At 38.2% G+C, this 20129-nt stretch overlaps 1 protein-coding gene across 48 annotated transcripts in view, besides 1 other annotated feature; it reads left to right on the plus strand.

Annotated features, from left to right (window-relative positions):
* SLMAP (sarcolemma associated protein) overlaps positions 1-20129 on the plus strand; it is a 173705-nt gene that overhangs the window by 16904 nt on the left and 136672 nt on the right. The window contains exon 2 of one of the 48 annotated variants that reach the window (XM_047448894.1): positions 9695-9760. The exons of the other annotated variants lie outside the window; for them this stretch is intronic. The gene's annotated coding sequence lies outside the window, so the exon portion shown is untranslated. The remainder of the gene's footprint in view (positions 1-9694; positions 9761-20129) is intronic. 48 annotated transcript variants of the gene reach the window in all.
* Positions 5317-5517: a silencer, noted in NCBI's record as "peak4671 fragment used in MPRA reporter construct". NCBI's record gives its function as "represses an SCP1 promoter by STARR-seq MPRAs in K562 erythroleukemia cells {active_cell/tissue: K562}" and the evidence as "EXISTENCE:reporter gene assay evidence [ECO:0000049][PMID:32103011]".

The following is a 20129-nucleotide window of genomic DNA, read 5'->3' on the forward strand; positions in this document are numbered from 1 at the left end:
ATTACCACCAGATGGTTTAGATTAAATGACAGAGTTGAACCTCAGTTAGACTGCATTTCAGGTAAGCGGTGGAGATAAGTAAGTCCTCAACATCAGTGTCATCAATAGGTTCTTGGAAACTGTGAGACTAAGCCACATCATGTACTATATGCTGTAGGAACTTAATTCTTGTTTATATTAATTAGCCTATGGTAAAATTGGTAAAATTGGTTTCTTTATACAATATGTCATTTTACTTAAAATCACTGTTTCCAAAAACCTATCCATGACTATGTTAAGTGAGGACTTTCTGTACAGGGTTGATGGGACCATAGGGCAAAAACCTTTAGGAAATCAAGGCATAAACTTTGGGGGCTAAGAATCTTGGAGTTGCAACTGTGGGGAAAGCAATGCCTCCACTTAATTCATCTCGATAACCCAATAACTAAACTAGTATGTCCTAAGGTGGGTTATGAAACACCTGTCTGCTTTAGCATTCTGACTTCATATTAGAGTGATTGTAAAATGATAAAGATTGGTTTCATAAGTATAGTGAGCAGACAAGATTTGAAGATTCCGAAGTATTAATATAATTTATTTTCTTTTATTTTTAAAAACTACCTACGTATTGGAAAATAGGATGTTTCTTATTTTCAAGATTATTTTTATCTTGGCATATTAAAAGACTGCACTTGTGTGCATTTTTAAGGTTTTTTATATCATTTAAAATACTGCAGTAAGCTCATTTAAATACTATTTCTGATATTGCCAGAAGTATAGATTTAATACTTTGAATAAAACAATGAAAGAAGTTAAAAGGATTATGATGAAAATATTGTATGTAATTGTCCAAGCAAAAGGTAGGTATTAAATGATAGAAACTGCTTCAGAACTTCAGTATGAAATATATTTTAAAACATAACACCTATGTAGTAGTACTAGTCTTACCATTTTAAACTGATACTCTAAACTGAGGTTTATTTATAATTGCCAGTTGTGTGGAGGCAGAGTTTTAAGATGAGCAGCAGTTAAGTTTGTTGGTTTTAATAGTTTTTTTACCCACTTCCCTGATTTGAGAACTGTATTAAAATTTTATCCTTTATTTTAGCTGCAGCTATTTTGAAAGCTGATATAAAAATAGGTAAACTTTTTGAATAATGTGTGAAAAAATGATTAAAAAGTACTTCAAACATTAGGTGTTAGTATTATTATGAAAATTAGTTGTTATTACTGTCTCCTTTCACTAATCTTTATTATTATTGCTTTGTCATAGTGGTATGTAGTCTTAGGCACAAGAGAAATTAGACTTTAATAGACAATTATTATTATTATTATTATTATTATTATTATTGAGACGAAGTCTTACTCTGTCCCCCAGGCTGGAGTGCAGTGGCATGATCTTGGCTCACTGCAACCTCTGCTTCCTGGGTTCAAGCAATTCTTCTGCCTCAGCCTCCCATGTAGCGGGCATTACAGGCATGCATCACCACACCCGGCTAATTTTTGCGTTTTTAGTAGAGACTGGGCTTTCATCATGTTGGCCAGGCTGGTCTTGAACTCCTGACCTTGTGATCCACCCGCCTCAGCCTCCCAAAATGCTGGGATTACAGGTGTGAGCCATTGCGCCCGGCCAACAGACAATTATTTTTAACATGGCTGCCTTGTTGTAGGTCTGATGATTGTGCTTCATATATTTAAGCATTAATATGTATTCATATATATACTTAAATGCAAAGTTAAACATTTTGTATAGAAAAATGTTTACTCCTGATATTTAAGTCCTGCTGCCAAAATATTATTCCCCAAACCAAATATTTGGAGTTTTGGTATCTGAATGTTGGGATTGGATAAGAAAACTTTATATTTTTCTTTTTTTTTTTTGAGACGGAGTCTCGCTCTGTCGCCCAGGCCGGAGTACAGTGGCGCGATCTCGGCTCACTGCAAGCTCCGCCTCCTGGGTTCACGCCATTTTCCTGCCTCAGCCCCCGAGTAGCTGGGACTACAGGCGCCCACCACTGCCCCCGGCTAATTTTTTTGTATTTTTAGTAGAGACGGGGTTTCACCGTGGTCTCGATCTCCTGACCTTGTGATCCGCCCACCCCGGCCTCCCAAAGTGCTGGGATTACAGGCGTGGGCCACCGCGCCCGGCGAAAACTTTGTATTTTTCAAGTTCAGCCACTTTAAAAATACTTGTGGCTGGGCCAGGCATATTGGCTTACGCCTGTAATTCCAACACTTTGGAAGGCTGAGGCAGGAGGATTACTTGAGCCCAGGAATTCAAGACCAGCCTGAGCAACAAAGTGAAACCCTGTTGGTACAAAAAAAAAAAAAAAAAAAAAAAAAAAAAGAGCCGGGCGTGGTGGTGTATGCCTGTAGTCCCGGCTGCTTGAGGGAGGCTGAGTGCAGAAGATAGCTTGAGCCTGGGAGTTGGGGGGCTGCAGTGAGCTATGATCGCGCCACTGCACTCCAGCCTGGGAGACAGAACAAGACCCTATCTCAAAAAAATTGTTATTATGATTATTGTTGAGACGGAGTGTCGCTCTTGTTGCCCAGGCTGGAGTGCAGTGGTGCAGTCTTGGCTCACTGCAACCTCTGCCTCCCGGGTTCAAGTGATCTATTGCCTGAGGCTCCCAAGTAACTGGGATTACAGGCGCCCACCACCACACCTGACTACTTTTTGTATTTTTAGTAGAGATGGCGTTTTACCATGTTGGCCAGGCTGGTCTCAAACTCCTAACCTCAGGTGATCCAGCTGCCTCGGCCTCCCAAAGTGTTGGGATTATAGGCGTGAGCCACCACGCCGGGCCAATTTTTTAAATAATTTAAAAAAATTAAATAGATTTGTGGAAAAGGATACTCATTCTCCCTTCTGGAATCAATGCCATAGTTTCAGTTTTATGACTATGTGCTACTTTGATAATAGTAGCAGTTAGTTGTTATTCCACTCACTTAAGCTTTCTTTATTTTTGAACTTTGAATTTTCTGGTTGTCTTTGGAGTTGGTTGGGCTGGGTAAATCTTAGTTATTAAGTGCTGTAGGTACAGAAAATGAAAATTTATATAATGTTTATACATTTAACATTGTTACCTTCATTATATTTCCCATTTCTGTTGCTTTCACATTAGAGTTTTGTACTAATTCAGACTTTGTGGTTCTTATCTGTTGGCTGTTTTAAGTGTGGATATGTTTTGGGCAAATTCTATGGATTTTTGTTTTATTCTAAATCAGAATTGAGTGATAGATCAAATAAGTGATCGTTTAATGCTTTCTTTGTGAAATTTTACCAATTTCCACAATTCTCCCTGATTTGTCCCTTCTCTCTCTCTCTCTCTTTTTTTTTTTTTTTTTTTTTGAGATAGAGTTTCGCTCTTGTTGCCCAGGCTGGAGTGCAGTGGCGCAATCTTGGCTCACTGCAACCTCCACCTCTCAGGTTCAAGTGATTCTCCAGCCTCAGCCTCCCAAATAGCTGGGATTACAGGTGGGTGCCACCACTCCTGGCTAATTTTTTGTATTTAGTAGAGACAGGGTTTCACCATGTTGGTCAGGCTATCTTGAACTCCTGACCTCAGGTGATCCACCTGCCTCAGCCTCCCAAAGTGCTGGGATTACAGGTGTGAGCCACTGTGCCTGGCCTGATTTGTTTATTCTCTTAATATTTTGAACTTTGATCATGTTTAACACTTCACTTAACCCTTAATTATATATGGTTCTGGGTAAATTATTTGATTATTATGGCCCTAATTAGCTTAAAATCTCCTTAAAAGTAACTGTAATAGACTATGCTACCTTGTGGCCCGACAGTATAGGTATAGTGCCTGTCATGTAGTAGATGGTTAAAAAAAATTATTGCCAACACAATACCTTTCTCCAAAGAAATTATGGAAGTACTAGCGTAAGAAATTTGACTTTTTTTGGGGGGAGGGGGGAGGGATAGCATTAGGATATATACCTAATGCTAAATGACGAGTTAATGGGTGCAGCACACCAGCAGGGCACATGTATACATATGTAACTAACCTGCACATTGTGCACATGTACCCTAAAACTTAAAGTATAATAATAATAAAATTTTAAAAAAAGAAATTTGACTTTTTTAAAAAAACCTCTTAGAAGAAGATATAGGATAACATCCTTATGACCTTGAATTCAGGGAGGCTATAATAATTTACAGGAAGCATACATTGAGGGAAAAGATTAATACATTCAAATACATTAAAAATTAATTTTATTCATTGGAAGATAGAATAGCCAGGCGCAGTGGCACTTGCTTTGTAGTCCCAGCTACTTGGGGGCTAAGACGGGAGGACTGCTTGAGCCCAGGAGTTTGAGGCTGTAATGTGCTTTGATGGTGCCTGTGAATCACCACTGTATTCCAGCCTAGGCAGCTTAAAAAAAAAAGAATAAGAAAAGTTCAGAAGAAAAAAATTGGCAAATATATTTGTAAAACATATATCACTTGCAAAAGGTTAGTATTCAGAAAATAGAAATAAGTTGTTTAAATAAAAGACAACCCAACAGAAAAGAAACAGTCAAAAGACACACATAAGAATTTCACCGAATAAATAAGATGCAGCAATAAACAAATGCTCAACTTTCAACATAAGTAAGGAAGTGTAAACTTAAACCATGAGATGCCGTTTCTACTCAATTAAAAACTTGGATAATATCAAGTGTGAGTGATACCGTAGAGCAGTAGCAACTCTCATACTTTGTTGTTGATATGGTGAATTTCATTGATTGATTTTTGAATGTTAAGCCAAGTTTGCATTCCTGAGATAAACTACACTTGGTTGTGATGTATTATCCCTTTTATATATTGCTGGATTTGATTTGCTTATATTTTGTTAAGGATTTTTGTATCTCTGTTCATGAAGTATTCGTCTTAAATGCTTGTGAGAATTTACCAAAGGAAGCCATCTGGACCTATTTATGTTCTGTGGAATGTTGTAAACTATAAGTTCAATTTCTTTAATAGAAACAGAGCTTTTCTAGTCATCTATTTTTTCTTGAGTTAACTTTGATATTTTGTATCTTTCAGGAAATTTGTCTGTTTCATCTAAGTTCTTGACTTTATTATAAAATTATTCATAATATTACCTTGTTATACTTTTAGTATCTGTAGAATCTGTGGTGCTGTGTCATTACCTCTCTTATTCTCAATGTTGGTAATGTGTGCCTTTTTTTTTTTCCATTACACTTTGGCTAGAGATTTATCAACATTATTGTTCTTCTTAAAGAATCAGGGTTTTTTTGGTAGATTTTTTTCTATTATTTTTCTATTTTCTATTTCCTGAATTTTTGTTCTTTATTATTTCCTTGTTTCTGCTTGCTTTGTGTTTAATTTCCTCCTCTTTTTCTAGTTTCTCTTTTCTTTCTTTCTTTTTTTTTTTTTTTTTTTGAGACCAGGCCTTGCTGTGTTGTCATTCAAGCTGGAGTGTGGTGGTGCAATCATAGCTCACCACAGCCTCAAACTCTTGGGCTCAAGCAATCTTCCCGTCCTCAGCCTCCTGAGTAGCTAGGACTACAGGTGCATGCCACCATGCCTGGCTAATTTTAAAATTTGTGGTAGAGATAGGGGCTCTGTATGTTGCCCAGGCTGTCTAGTTTCTCAAATTAGAATCTTAGGTAATTGAGTTAAGGCTTTCTTCTCTTCTAATGAATCATGTAATGTTATAACCATTTTGACAAACAGTGTGACATGGTTACAATGCTGAATTTCTGTATATCTATTGACCCAGCAGTTCTTCTCCTAGGTATATACTCTAGGAAATTTTTTTTATATGTTTGCCAGGAGACGTGTTCAAGCATGTTTATAGTAGGATTTTTCATAATAGCAAACATCCAAATGTTCATTGACAGGAATATGTACATACTTCTGTTAAATTACACCACGGAGTACTGTACAGTATTGAACGTGAATGAACAATAGCTGCATATATCAATGCAGATCAATCTCAGAAATGTTGAATAAAAAGAGCAAGGTGCAAAAGAATACTTACACTGTGATGTCATTTAAGATAAAATTTGAAAAATCAGTTGGGCGCAGTGGCTCACACTTGTATTCTCAGCATTTTGGGAGGCTGAGGCAGGTAGATTGCTTGAGCCCAGGAGTTCAAGACCAGCCTGGGCAACATGGCGAAACTCCATCTCTACAAAATATACAAAAAATTAGCCAAGCATGCTGATGTGTGCCTCTTGTCCCAGCTACTCAGGAGGCTGAGGTGGGAGGATTGCTTGAGCCCAGGAAGTTGAGGCTGCAGTGAATTGAGATCGCTGCACTACACTCCAGCCTGGGCAACAGAGTGAGACCCTGTTTCAAAAAAAAAAAAAAAAACAAAAATAAAATAAAAATGAAAAATCACCATACGTACTGATATATCTGTTTTGCTATAAATATAGTAATAGAATGATAAGCAATCCTTGTGGGGGAGGCAGAGTTAATGTAAAAATAGCTAAATTTATATATTACATGTTGCAAGATGTTTTAAATACTTTATAAATGAATACTTATTTGATTCTCATAATCAAGTACTTCTGTGATGCAGGCACTATTTTTATTCTCATTTATAAATAAAGAAGCAGAAAAACCTTAACTTCCTAAAGTTATACCACTAATAAGTGGTAGACCTTATCATCAAATCCAAGCAAGTCTGGCTTGAGTCTGTGCTCTGAATGACTAAGTCTTAGTGCTTGCCATGATGGAAGGGGCAGGGAGTTTCTCAAGCTGGCAGTTGGGTACACCGACTTTTTTTTTATTGTTTCATTCATATTTATATGCTTATATTTATTTTTATATTTAACTTAATTAAAATTTTAAAAGAGAAATAAAAAAAGTTAAGCCACCTGAGAAGGAATGTAAGAACATAACCTCCCTAACTATATTTACATTCTAAATGGAATTTTAGGACATCAACACTATTAATGTTCCCTTTTTTTTTTCACATTGCCCTGCCCCTCCCTTCTTTTTTTTTTTGAGACAGGGTCTTGCTCTGTTGCCCATGCTGGAGTGCAGTGGCATGATCACTGCTCACTGCAGCCTTGACCTCCTGGGCTCAAGCCATCTGCCCACCTTGGTCTCCCGAGTAGCTGGAACTACAGGTGCACACCATCACACCCAGCTAATTTTTGTGTTTTGTAGAAACAGGATCTCGCCAGGTTGCCCAGGCTGGTCTCCAACTCCTGGGCCCAAGCGATCTGCCTGCCTTGGCCTCCCAAAGTGCCAGGTTTACAGGCAAGAACCACCATGCCCAGCTTCAACACTATTAATTTTCTATAACATATTTCCTAGATAATACTAATAAAGCATGAAATATTAAAAACTTGGATAGGTGAGGTGTTATTAATCTTATATATCTTGATCTGGGTGGTAGTTACAAGGGTGTGTTCATCTGGTGGTGATTCATCAAGCTATACACTTTTGATTTGTTCAATTCTTTGTAGGTATTTCAACTTAAATAATTTTTTTTTTTTGAGACAGGGTCTTGCTTTGTTGCACAGGTTAGAACTCAGTGGCTCTATCTCTGCTCACTGCAGTCTTGATTTCTTGGGCTCAAGCGATCTTCCCACCTAGGCCTTCCTCGTGGCTGGGACTGTAGGCACGCACCACCATGCTTGGCTAATTTTTAATTTTTTTTAGAGATAGGGTCTCGCTGTGTTGCCCAGGCTGGTCTTGAACTCCTGAGCTCAAGTGATCTACCCACCTCAGACTCCCCAAGTACTGGGATTACAGGTGTGAGCCACCTTGCCCAGTAAAATTCTTTAAAGATAGAATAAGATATATACATACACATATATATATACCTATGTATGCACATATATATATACATATATATACACACACATATATATGCGCATATATATAAAATAATAAGATACAAAAAATAGAATAAAAAAATAAAAATAAATTAGCGAGGCATGGTGGTACATGCCTGTAGCCCCAGCTGCTTGAGCCCAGGAGTTTGAGACTGTAGTGAGCTATGATTGCACCACTGCATTCCAGCCTGGGCAACAGAGTGAGACCCTCTCAAAAAAAAGGACTAAAAATATTAGATAAGATTTTCTTAAATTCCAAAGGTTTCTTATTGCAGCTACATTATGTATGTATTTGTTGGGATGATTAAAGGGATATAAAATAGGTTATAAAATGATTGGCTGGCTTTTTGAGATGTTACTTCATTGAAAAGGCTGTAAAAAGAATAAGGAAGCTGTTTATATACTGATATGGGAGATTTTCTAAGATATAAATTATTGGGTTAATAAAAGAACAAACAGGAGACAGCACCATGTGTATAATAATCTACCTTTCTTGTAAAGGAGAGAAAAATAAGAATCTATGTTTGTTATTTGTTTATGCCTAAAGAAACTCTGAAGGAGGCATAAGAAATTAGTAGCTGCGGTTACCTGGGAGTGTAGTGGGGATGGAGACTGTGTTGATATGAAATAGGGATGGCAGGAAGTCTTTTCATTGTATTTACCATTTTAGTTCTTTTTAAACCATGTAACTATACAAGCTATTCTAAGTAAATAAATATTGACTGATTTTTTTTTTTTTTTTTTTTTGAGATGGAGTTTCACTCTGTTGTCCAGGCTGGAGTGCAGTGGCGCAATTTCAGCTCACTGCAACCTCTGCCTCCCAGGTTCAAGCAATTCTCCTTCCTCAGCCTCCCAAGTAGCTGGGATTATAGGCATGCAGCACCACACCCAGCTAATTTTTGTGTTTTTAACTAGATGCGGGGTTTCACCATGTTGGCCAGGCTGGTCTCGAATTCCTGACCTCAAGTGACTGCCCATGTCAGCCTTCCAAAGTGTTGGCATTACAGGTGTGAGCCATGATTTTTAAAAGAAAGCATGTTTAGCATATCTCCGTTAGGTAAATTCAGATTTATACTCTTTTATTTTGGGACTTACATTTGATTATTTGTTGGATATAGGATATTTCCATTTCTTGAGATTTGGTCATATCTCTTGAAATAGAGAAATTTTGGGGATACTATATCATTATAAGGGCTTATGTTCAAAGAGGACTTTTTCAGTTAAATTCCCCAAATCTTTCCAGCATCTCCCCTTTTCCAGGACCATTTTAATTCTTTTTAAAATTACTTTTTGCTCTTTTGGATATTGTGCATTTATAGGCAGAAGTTTCCTTTCCAATGAGATGTTAATAATATGACCTTATATTTAAACAGTTTTAGAATTAAAAAGGTGTTTTGTTACTGTGACTGAGCTTTCTGATATCATTTAGTTAAAAAGTAGGAAAAGCCAATGTTTAGGTGGCCAAACTTTCCTTTTATTCTTCTTTGTTGAGACGGTCTCACTCTGTCACCTAGGCTGGAGTGTAGCGGCATGATCTGGGCTCACTACAACTTCCACTTCCTGGGCTCAAGCGATCCTCACATCTCATCCTCCCAAGTAGCTGGGACTACAGGTGTGCACCACCATGCCTGGCTAATTTTTTTGTTTTTTTGTAAAGATGGGTTTTGCCATATTGTCCAGGCTGGTCTCAAACTCCTGGGCTCAAGCAGTCTGTCCACCTTGGCCTCCCAAAGTGCTGGGATTATAGGCATGAGCCACTATGCCCAGCCATGAATGGATTTTTGTCATTATCTTAGGAGTGGGTTAGTATTGTGTGAGTGGGCTTGTTATAAAAGTGAGCTTGGCCCCCTCTTGCTGTCTCCCTGTCTCATGCTCTCCTGCCTTTCCATGTTCTGCCATGCAGTGCTGCAACAAGAAGGCCCTCACTAGATGATGGCACCTTGATACAGAACTTCTAGCTCCCAGAACTGTGAGAAATACATTTCTTTTCTTTATAAATTACCCAATCTGTGATATTGTGGTATAGCAACACAAAATGGATTAAGACAGAAAATTGCTACCAAGAAGTGGGGTTGTTGCTGTAACAAACACCTGAAAATGTTAAAGCAGCTTTGGAACTGGGTAATGGGTAGAGAAGAATTTGGAGGAGCAGGCTAGGAAAAGCCAGTTGTGGTAAATGGAGCATTAATGGTGATTCTGGTGAGAGCTCCGAAGAAGGGGAAACGTGTATCAAAAAATCTGAAAACCTTAGAGATTACTTAAGTGTTCATGATCAAAATATTGGTAGAAATAGGGATAGTAAAGGCCATTCCGATGAGCTCTCAGATGGAAGAGAGAAATATCTTACTGGAAACAGGAGTAAAGGTCATCTTTGTTATGAAGTGGGAGAGAACATGACTGTTCTGTGTCCTTGCCCTAGGTCTTTATGGAAGGCAGAATTTAAGAGTGATGAGCTAGGATATCTGGTGGAAGAAATTTTTAAACAAAATATTGAAAGAGCTACATAGCTATTTGTAACTGCATACATTAAGATGCGAGAGGAGAAAAATGACTTAAAGTTGGATTTATAATTAAAAGAGAAACAGAAAGGAAAGATTTGGAAAATTTGCAGTCTGGCTATGTAAAGAGTGAAAAGGCATGTTTAAGAGAGCAAGCCAAGGGTGTGGCCAAGTAACTGTTTGCTAAGGAGATTAGTATGGATAGGAGGGAGCCAAGTACTTATCATCAAGAAAATGGGAGAATGACTCTGAAGCCATTTCAGAGATCTTCAAGGCTATCCCTGTCATCACGGGTGCAGACCTCTAGGAAGACAGAACAATTTTGAGTCAGGGCCAGGGCACCCTTTGGCACCTTTAATGGGCTTGATGCCTAGGGCTGCCCCTATCTCTGTTCCCTGCATTCTGTTGCAACACTGCCCTAGCTGTGGCTCAAGTGGGCCCAGGTGTTGCTGAACCTGCTGCTCTGAAAGGTACAAGCCATAAACTCTGGTGGTGTACACTTGGTGATAATTCTGTCACCAAATTCAAGAACCATGGGGCCATGGCAGCCTCCACCTAGATTTCAAAGGATGTCATGGATAGGCGGGGGGCCCAGACAGAGATGTGTAGGAGAGGCAGAGCCACTACTGAAAGTTCCCACTAGAGCAGTGCCTAGTGAAGCTGTGGGAATGAAGCAGCCCCCAAGACCACAGAACTATAGGGCCACCAGCATATAACTGCACCCTGGAAAGGCTGCAGGCATAAGACTCCAACCTGTGAGAGCTGCTGGGTGGACTGAGTCTAGGAAAGCTATAGAGGTAGGGCTGCCTGAGGCCTTTGTGAGCCCAACCTTTCCCCAGTGGGCCCAGCCTCTGTCCTAGTGTGCCCAGGATTTTGGACATGGCGTCAAAGGAGATTCTTCTCCAGCTTTAAGACTTATTGTTGTTTTTCTTGGGACCACCAGTTACCCCTCTTTTCCTCATCCCTATTGGAATGAGAGTGTCTGTCCTATGCCTGTGCCTTGTGTTTTGGAAAGTTGGTAACTTGTTTTAACAGGCTCACACTTGGAGGGAATATACTTCAGGATGAATCATGCCTTGAGTCTCACCTATATCTGATTTAAATGAGACTTTAGACTTTTGAGTTGATATTGGAATGAGTTAAGACTTTAAGATTATTGGGATGGAATCTTTGCATTTTGCATTGTGAGAAGGACATGAATTTTGGGGTGCTAGGATGGAATGTTAAGGTTTGCATGTGTCTGCCATGGTTCATGTGTTGGAAACTTAATCCCCAATGCAACAGCATTGGGAGGTGGGGCCTAATAAGAGGTGATTATTAGGTCATGGATTAATGTTGTTATCTTGGGAGTGGGTTTGTTATAGAAGTGAGTTCTGTCCTGTCTTGCTCTCCCCTTCTCTTGTGCTCTCTTACCCTTTTGCCTTCTGCCATGGTATATGGTATGATGCAGCAAGAAGGCCCTCACCAGATGCTGGCAACTTGATGTTGAACTTCTCAGCCTTCAGAACTGTGAGATAGATAGATTTTATATATATATATAGTTATAAAGTATTCAGTCTAAGGTAATCTGTTTATAGCAATACAAAACAAACAAGTATTTCAGCTATAGAATAAAATGTTTGCAAGATTTAGCAAACATAAACGTTTACTTGGTTTTAGAGAATTTGAGGTACATTTCTTAATCTACATAAAATTTAAAACTCAAATATGTTGTAATAGGTTAGGGATTACACCAGTCATAATGATGCCATAGTTGCCTTACACCCTGAGAGAATGAGCCATTTTAACAAATAGGATTTTCTGAGCAGTTGAAAATTTATACCTTTTATGCCCAAATCAGTTTTGGACAGAAAGTTAAACATTTCCTGTCATCTTAAATAGAACAAAGGGCATAACCTTCTCTTAGGTCTTAGTGACCTAGTTGCATTTACTAATATAATTATGCATTTAAGGGGATTAGAGGTTATAAAGTTTGTGCCCCGGGGCTAAATGACTAAATTATCATGATTTAAAGTTCCCTGATATATGAATTTTGTAATGTTTTGATTCTTCTGGGTTTTATTTTCTGTGTCAGCTATTCCTATAGAAACTAAATAGCAACATACATGTAAATACAGATCTGTGAGGAAGCATGTGAATTTTACATTATGTGAACTTGCCCATCTGCTTCTACTACCACACTTCTCTTTTTTCCTTCTTGGTTAACAAGTGAATACCACCTAAAGTGGTATTATTGAGGTCTTTGGTAAATATATTCCTGAAACCTTTTAGAAAAATGTTAAGAGATTTTATATAAAGACCAGGTCACAAATGGCCATGAAATCTCTTCACCTGTTCTTTACCATATGTTATTTTTGTATAACATTTTCACGTTAACTATGTAGCTACATTTATTGGAAAATATAAGTACCTTTATAGTTATTTCAGCAAACATTTATCAGTCTTCTACTACTAAGTAAAAGAACCCCTTCTACTACTACTTTTCTAGGTGACAGAGATGAAAAAACAGGTGTCTGAATTTTTGAAACCTAAAGTCTATTTGAATAAGACAATAAAAAACTGTTTAGTATAATATTTTAGTAGCAGTGTATACCTGGTGTTAAATGATATTATAAAGGAGGATCATCCAATTCAGCATATCAGTTTGATAATACTGTGGTAATAACTCCAAAACCACAGTGCCTTATAGCAGCAAAGATTTATTTCTTGCTCATGTTACATGTTTAGGTAGATGGCAGCTCTGTCCATAGTTGTTCTCCTTTCAGGGGTTCAGGCTGAAGGAGCAGCTCCTATCTGGGACATGTATGTTCTGGTGGTTGAAGGAAAAGAGCTATCCAGAACAGAACCATGGAATTATAGTTAAAAAAGGGGAACATGTTATTCAACACACACTTTATTGGCCAAAGCAAGTCACGTGGCCATGCATAATGCAATTGGTTAGGGAAGTATAATTAATACTCATATAGGAGAAGCAGTAGAATAATTGAGTACAGTAATACATTCTACTACACTCAGCTTCGTTCCCAACTTCCCAAGTGAAAATTATATAGCTTTTTTTTTTTTTTTTTTTTTAAAGACAGAGTCTCACTCTGTTATCCAGGCTGGAGTGCAGTGGCACGATCTTGGTTCACTACAACCTCCGCCTCCCAGGTTCAAACGATTCTTCTGCCTCAGTCTCCTGAGTAGCTGGTATTACAGGTGCCCACCACCTTTCCCAGCTAGTCTTTGTATTTTTTTTTTTTTTTTTTTTGAGTTGGAGTCTCGCTCTGTCGCCCAGGCTGGAGTGCAGTGGTGTGATCTCGGCTCACTGCAAGCTCCGCCTCCCAGGTTCACGCCATTCTCCTGCCTCAGCCTCCCGAGTAGCTGGGACTACAGGCGCCTGCCATCACGCCTGGCTAATTTTTTGTATTTTTTTAAGTAGAGATGGGGTTTCACCATGTTAGCCAGGATGATCTCGATCGCCTGACCTTGTGATCCGCCCGCCTCGGCCTCCCAAAGTGTTGGGATTACAGGCGTGAGCCACCGCACCCTGCCGAAAATTATGTAGTTTTGGGAGCCATCAAGTAAAAATGCATTATAGCAGAAATAAAGCTGTTTTCCAGTCCCTTATGAGCATTCTAATATCTATAAGTTAAATTGCTTGTGTCTCCCTTGAAGATGAGAGAAGCTGTAAAGAAATTATAATTTGAAGTAATGTTCTTTTTATGGGAGATGGAGGACTATATCATTGACACACTACTTGGTATCTTTTTTGAATAACTCTGACATCGAGTTATGAGGTTCAATAATAAGTTTTTTTTCTTTTCACATCTCTTCAATCTACTTTATGTTACCCATTAATCGATTGCTTTGTCATGGACTGAATCTATACAATCATATTTTCAAGCTAAAATCTGGGGTAGATTAGTTCATGGGGTCAAACATTAGCATATTTAAAATAGGAAATGACATGAATTATGTAGCATTTGCTTATTGGGCATCTCTTTCTTTTTTGAGACAGAGTCTCACTCTGTCGCCCAGGCTGGAATGCAGTGGCGCAATCTCCGCTCACTGCAACCTCTGCCTCTCGGGTTCAAGTGATTCTCCTGCCTGAACCTCCTGAGAGCTGGGATTACAGGCATGCGCCACGATACCCAGCTAATTTTTGTATTTTTAGTAGAGACGGGGTTTCACCATGTTGGCCAGGCTGGTCTTGAACTCCTGACCTCAAGTGATCTGCCCACCTCAGCCTCCCAAAAGTGCTGAGATTACAGGCGTGAGCCACCATGCCCGGCTAGGCATCTCTTTATTGAGCATCTCCTATGTGGCATATTTGCCAGCTGACTGGGATATAGGAGTGAAAGATATGATCCTTGCTTTTAGGGATTCTACATAAGTGGACATGTCTCTGGATAATACCAATACTAGGAAATAATTGCCAAGAGAGGTACTAGTCAAATGATCCGCAGTTGAAGTGTTTAGGAAGGAATGACCAATGATAAGATGGTGAAGAAAGAGTGGTTAGAATGGTTTCTCCACAGGTGACAGCTGAAACAAGTCTTGAAAGAAGAGCAAGACTTTGTCATGCAAATGAGGGGAAGTACATTCTAGGCAGCACTAATATATATCATGAGTGATAGCATGAAGGAGTAAAAGCAGTGGTGGTTTATAGAAACTGAGTGATTTTTGTGAATCATATAGGAGAGAGGACAGGAGATGAGGTGGAAAAGGTAGATTTGGACCAAGTCTTGAAGGACTTTAGTGTAATGCTGCTTTTTCCTTTAGGAACAGGTGGTGAGGAGTTTGATAAGATTTTAAGTAATAGAATCACATGCTTAAATCTTTGTTTTTAGAATAGCAGTCATGGTGATAATGTGGAAGACATTGGCTTTGTGCCTAGAGGCAAGGGGACTTGTAGAGTGATTCAGTAAAGAGGACAGTTAGAGGTAAATTCTTGGTGTGTAGCCAAATCATCTGGATAGAGGGAGATAGACTTGGGAGTTATCAGCCCATGTAGTGAAGGTTACAGGAAATACACTCCCAGGGAAGTTTGTATATCGCTAGAAAAGTAGAGGCTGGGGAAGAACCCTGGGGATGACCAGCATTTGAACAGCTGGCAGGGAAAAAAGAAGGCAGACTTAAAAGACCATCCAGAGAAGTAGGAGGATGAGGAGAGATTAGATTTGTGAAGTACAAAGCAGGGGAGAGTTTTTGAGAAGAGAGTTGTGAATAGCCCTCAAATGCTACATTATAAGAGTTGAAAGTAGTCCTTGGACTTGTCAGGTAGGGGTCTGTCTCATCAATGGCTTGAGGGCTGGCTGTTCAGTAGAGTGATGAATGTGGAAGCTCGCCGGCAGTTGGTTAAGAAGGCAGTGAGTTAGGGAGTGTGACAGGGAGTGTGACAGTTCTGTACATGCATTACTATAAGTGGATCCGGAGAGTAATTAAGTTATTTCCATAAGAAAGGTAGTGTTTGTATACTTCAGTGATGATCATTTGTTTTTCTCCAGTTTTAATTGTTGCTGCTCCCAAGGAGCCTGTGGTGATTCTGCCCTTGTATGTCGGGGGAAATGTGGCATTAAAAAAGCAGTACAGGTCAGGCACTCTCTGTCCAGATTAATTTCTCAATAGAGTTATGTGTAAATTGAAATCTTACTGAGTTGAATAAGTTTGTGCAAATGGGATGTTGGTAAGGAAAAAATTATTCAATGACACTTGTTAAAGCATGGTAAGGAAGATTTATTCAGGACCATTGAGATAGGTATAGAAACCACTGCAGTGGGGTGTGGGGATTGCGGGGCGAGGGTAGAGAGAGACTGGGCTCACTCTGAATACAGCATGGGCAATTGGGAATCTATAGCCAAGGATCAGTGTGAGGGTAAGTGGTTGGAAAATTACTAAGAGGAAACATCAGGGGTAAGGGGGATTCTGGCTAAATCGACCTAACAGGATTCTTGGTGGAGTCAGGCCAGGGTGTTCAGACATCACCTGAGGGATGGTAGATAATGAGGAACCTGATCATACATCAAGGATGATCAGATGTCGAGGTTGAGGGGGTTCTGGCTAAACTGACTTAGCAAGGTTCTTTGGCTAAAACTGGATTTTACAAGGAAGTACACAGATGAGCCTAGAAGAGAGTTCATAAGCCTGAGTAAAGTTTGGCCAAGCAAAGAATCTTTGTCAACATGAGTCACATTGTTAAAAATATATGGAAATGTTAAAACTCTGTAATTCAACACAAATTAGAAATTCAGCAGCTATAGATGATATTCCCATAGATATTTTGATGTTCTGAGTTCTTTTTTTCTTTATCAAGTCCAAAATGTCATGTTCTGAGTTATTTTTGTTTGTTTGATTTATTTTGTTTTGTTTTCGAGATGGAGTCTCACTCTGTCGCCCAGGCTGGAGTGCAATGGCATGATCTCGGCTCACTGCAACCTCCGCCTCCTGGGTTCAAGCGATTCTCCTGCCTCAGCCTCCCAAGTAGCTGGGATTATAGGTGCCCGCCACCACTCCCAACTAATTTTTTTATTTTTAGTAGAGACGGGGTTTCACCATGTTGGCCACGCTGGTCTTGAACCCCTGACCTTAGGTGATCCACCTGCCTCAGCCTCCCAAAGTGCTGGGATTACAGGCATGAGCCACCATGCCCAGCCAATCATGTTCTGAGTTCTTAAAGCCAGAAACTTATCTTTGCATTTCTGATGATAGCAAAAATTAATTCTATGAAAAGTTTGTGTGTGTATATGTGTAAATATGTATGTGGATAGCTAAGTATACATTCAGCTCTTACTATGTCCAAAGCATATGAATGAGAGGCTAAGGACTGCTTACTATGGGGAAGAATGATTCTTACTTTACATTTGGCCAAGATCACAGATCTTATAACAAAAGGATTAAATGTTTTAGTATTGATCCTGATGAACACCTGACTTTTAAAGAAGGGTTATAAGAGCTTATAAACCAAGGTTAAGGAAAAAAAAAAGTGGAACACGGTGGTAAAATATTAATCTTTTTGCAGTAGATATATATTTTGTGAATTATCAAATTCTACCTAATTTTATGTTATTTTAGTCACTTATTTTCTATTTGTATAATTTTGTAGTTTTCTAGTTTTGCATTCTTGTTTTTATAATAGGTGCTAAATATGTGAGTTTGTTAAAATGTACTTTCAACATTAAGTAAAAATGAAACCATCGAGCAATTATTAAACACGTAAGACTAATAATTCTCCTGAATTTATACCATATAAAATAAGGTCATGTATATGGAAGTATTTTATAAACTAGGTAGCTAGAAATTAAGTCGTTATTTTTAAGTAGAAGATAAGTTATTAAATATTCACTGTAAATTTTAAGAACATAATTAAGTTGCTTTGGAGCAAAGGGGTCACATAAAATAATTTCAATTTTAGAAAACAATATCCATGAATATAAAGATAATAAGGATATACTGAAATATATATGTATTAGATACATTTTCTGGGTTCTAGGATGGAAAAACTTATTTGGACAGGGGATGGGGGAAGAGGAATGGCTTTTTATGAGTTTTAGCCCAGTATAAATATAGCAGCAGTCTTACTTTTAAAAAATTGGATGGACGCGTTGGCTTACGCTTGTAATCCCAGCAGTTTGGGAGACTGAGGCGGGCAGATCACTTGATGTCAGGAGTTCAAGGCCAGCCTGGCCAACATGGCGAAACCCCATCTCTACTAAAAATACAAAAAAAAATTAGCTGGGCATTGTGGAGCATGCCTGTAATTCCAGCTACTTGGGAGGTTGAGGCAGGAGAATCTCTTGAATCCAGGAGGCAGAGGTTGCAGTGAGCCGAGACTGCACCACTGCACTCAAGCCTGGGCAACAGAGACTCCATCTCAAAAAGAAAAAAAAAAAGGATCATTTTATTTAGTATATGTAGTAGCTCTGAGCCTTTGTACTCTTTACTTGCACAATGTTTTCTATTGTAAAGCATGTATGTCAAAACCCAGAATCTGCACTGTCACTTCCTTATTGTAAATATGGCTCTGCTACTAAGATAACATCCCTGAAACAGGGTGTAAATTTCTCAGGGTCTTGAAAAACAGTTTGAGAAGGGGGAAAAAAAAGTTAAGGTATGAATAATTTTCTCAGTTATGACTCTTTTAAAGTTCATTTCGATAAACTATCAAATAAATTTCTATTTCAACAGAAAATCCAAAAATTGCTTTTTTTTTGCATAGCATCTGAATTGGCTCAGATTAAGTATTTAAAAATTATAATTTTAATGAATAGTAGAAATCTCTCATATTTGAACCAATTTATATCTTTTACTAAACTTTAGAGTTGAAACTGATTCATTAATTTTAATAGATCTGTTTATTAATGATCTATTAATGATCTCAAATTTTGCTTGATATTTTAGATGAAAAAACAGTACTTAACAGATAAATCAAAAACAGTATTAAAATGTAAGAAGTATAACAGGATATTTTAGTGGCCTGTCTTTTTATTGTGTTCAAAGGGAATTGTTTGAACTTAAGTTACAGCTTTAATTGCATGTCAATTATCTGTAAGTATCTTACTTAAAAAGAAAATATGTGAATTAAGCTAACTAGTGACATTTATCTTTAACAACAGAGCACTTTGATTTGAAGAACAAAATTTTGTAATAATTGTGTTGAGTAAATATTTAGATGCGACCTTCTTAGTGATATTTTTATATGAAACACCTTTATTTTGATGGTATTGATTTTACTATTTATACTTTTTATATATAAATGCTTTAAGTAAGAGCAATGTCTATCTTCTTCTCCAAGTAAACTTATAAGTAAATTAGCTGAAACAGTCATTGTTAGAAATCATCCTTGCCTAAATTTTAAATAAAAACATAGTTAAAAAACTACAGTAGTGACAAATGTGACAGCACATAATTAATGTGCTGTCACATTTGCCTGAATTATTTTAAGTTAGGGGACTGTCTTATTTGCTTCTGTGTTTATCGTTCTTAGTTTAATTAGTATTGAATAGGTTTTAACAGTTAGGTTTTATATTTTCTCTTTAGATCTCCTCAGTATTGGTTTTGTCTATTCTGTTTCACTTAAATTATATCTTCATCTATAGGGGATTTTATATTCTATATTGTGTGTTCCTTTAAATTGACCATGATGAATTCTGAGTGTGTAGGTATTTGTACCATTTAAGTCGTTAACTCTTTAGAAATGTATGGACTTATTTATATTTTTTATAATATTGACAGTAAAAAATATGGGAAATGTATTAATATGTTAAACATTTGACAACACAAGCAAGTTATGTGGGCTTTTTAATTTTTTTTAAAGAAATGTAAAAAGTCTGGGCTACATTATGTTTCCCAGGCTGAACTCAAACTCCTGGATTTGACCGGGTGCGGTGACTCACACCTGTAATCCCAGCACTTTGAGAGGCTAAGCGGGGTGGATTGCTTGAGCTCAGGAGTTGAGACCAGCCTGGGCAACATGGCAAAACCCCATCTCTACCAAAAAATTGCAAAAATCAGCTGAGCGTTGTGGTGCGCACCTGTGGTCCCAGCAACTTGGGAGGCTGAAGTGGGAGGATCACTTGAGTCCAGGAGGCCGAAGTTGCAGTGAGCCAAGATCATGCTACTGCACTCTGCCCAGGTGACACCCTGTCTCAATAAGAAAACCCAAAAAATCCTCTTGAGCTCAAGTGATCCTCCCATGTCAGCCTCCAAGTAGTTAGGACTACAGGCTTACACCCCTACACCCTGTAGGCTTCTTATGTCCTTCCAGTTTTTGAGGTTAATTCTTTTCTTCCCTGAAACTCTAGTTTTAGATCTCAGATATCAATGACTTTTTAAATTCATTAACATTTCATTTCTAGATAT

Source organism: Homo sapiens, chromosome 3, assembly GCF_000001405.40.
Source record: "Homo sapiens chromosome 3, GRCh38.p14 Primary Assembly".
Classification (NCBI taxonomy): Eukaryota; Metazoa; Chordata; class Mammalia; order Primates; family Hominidae; genus Homo; species Homo sapiens.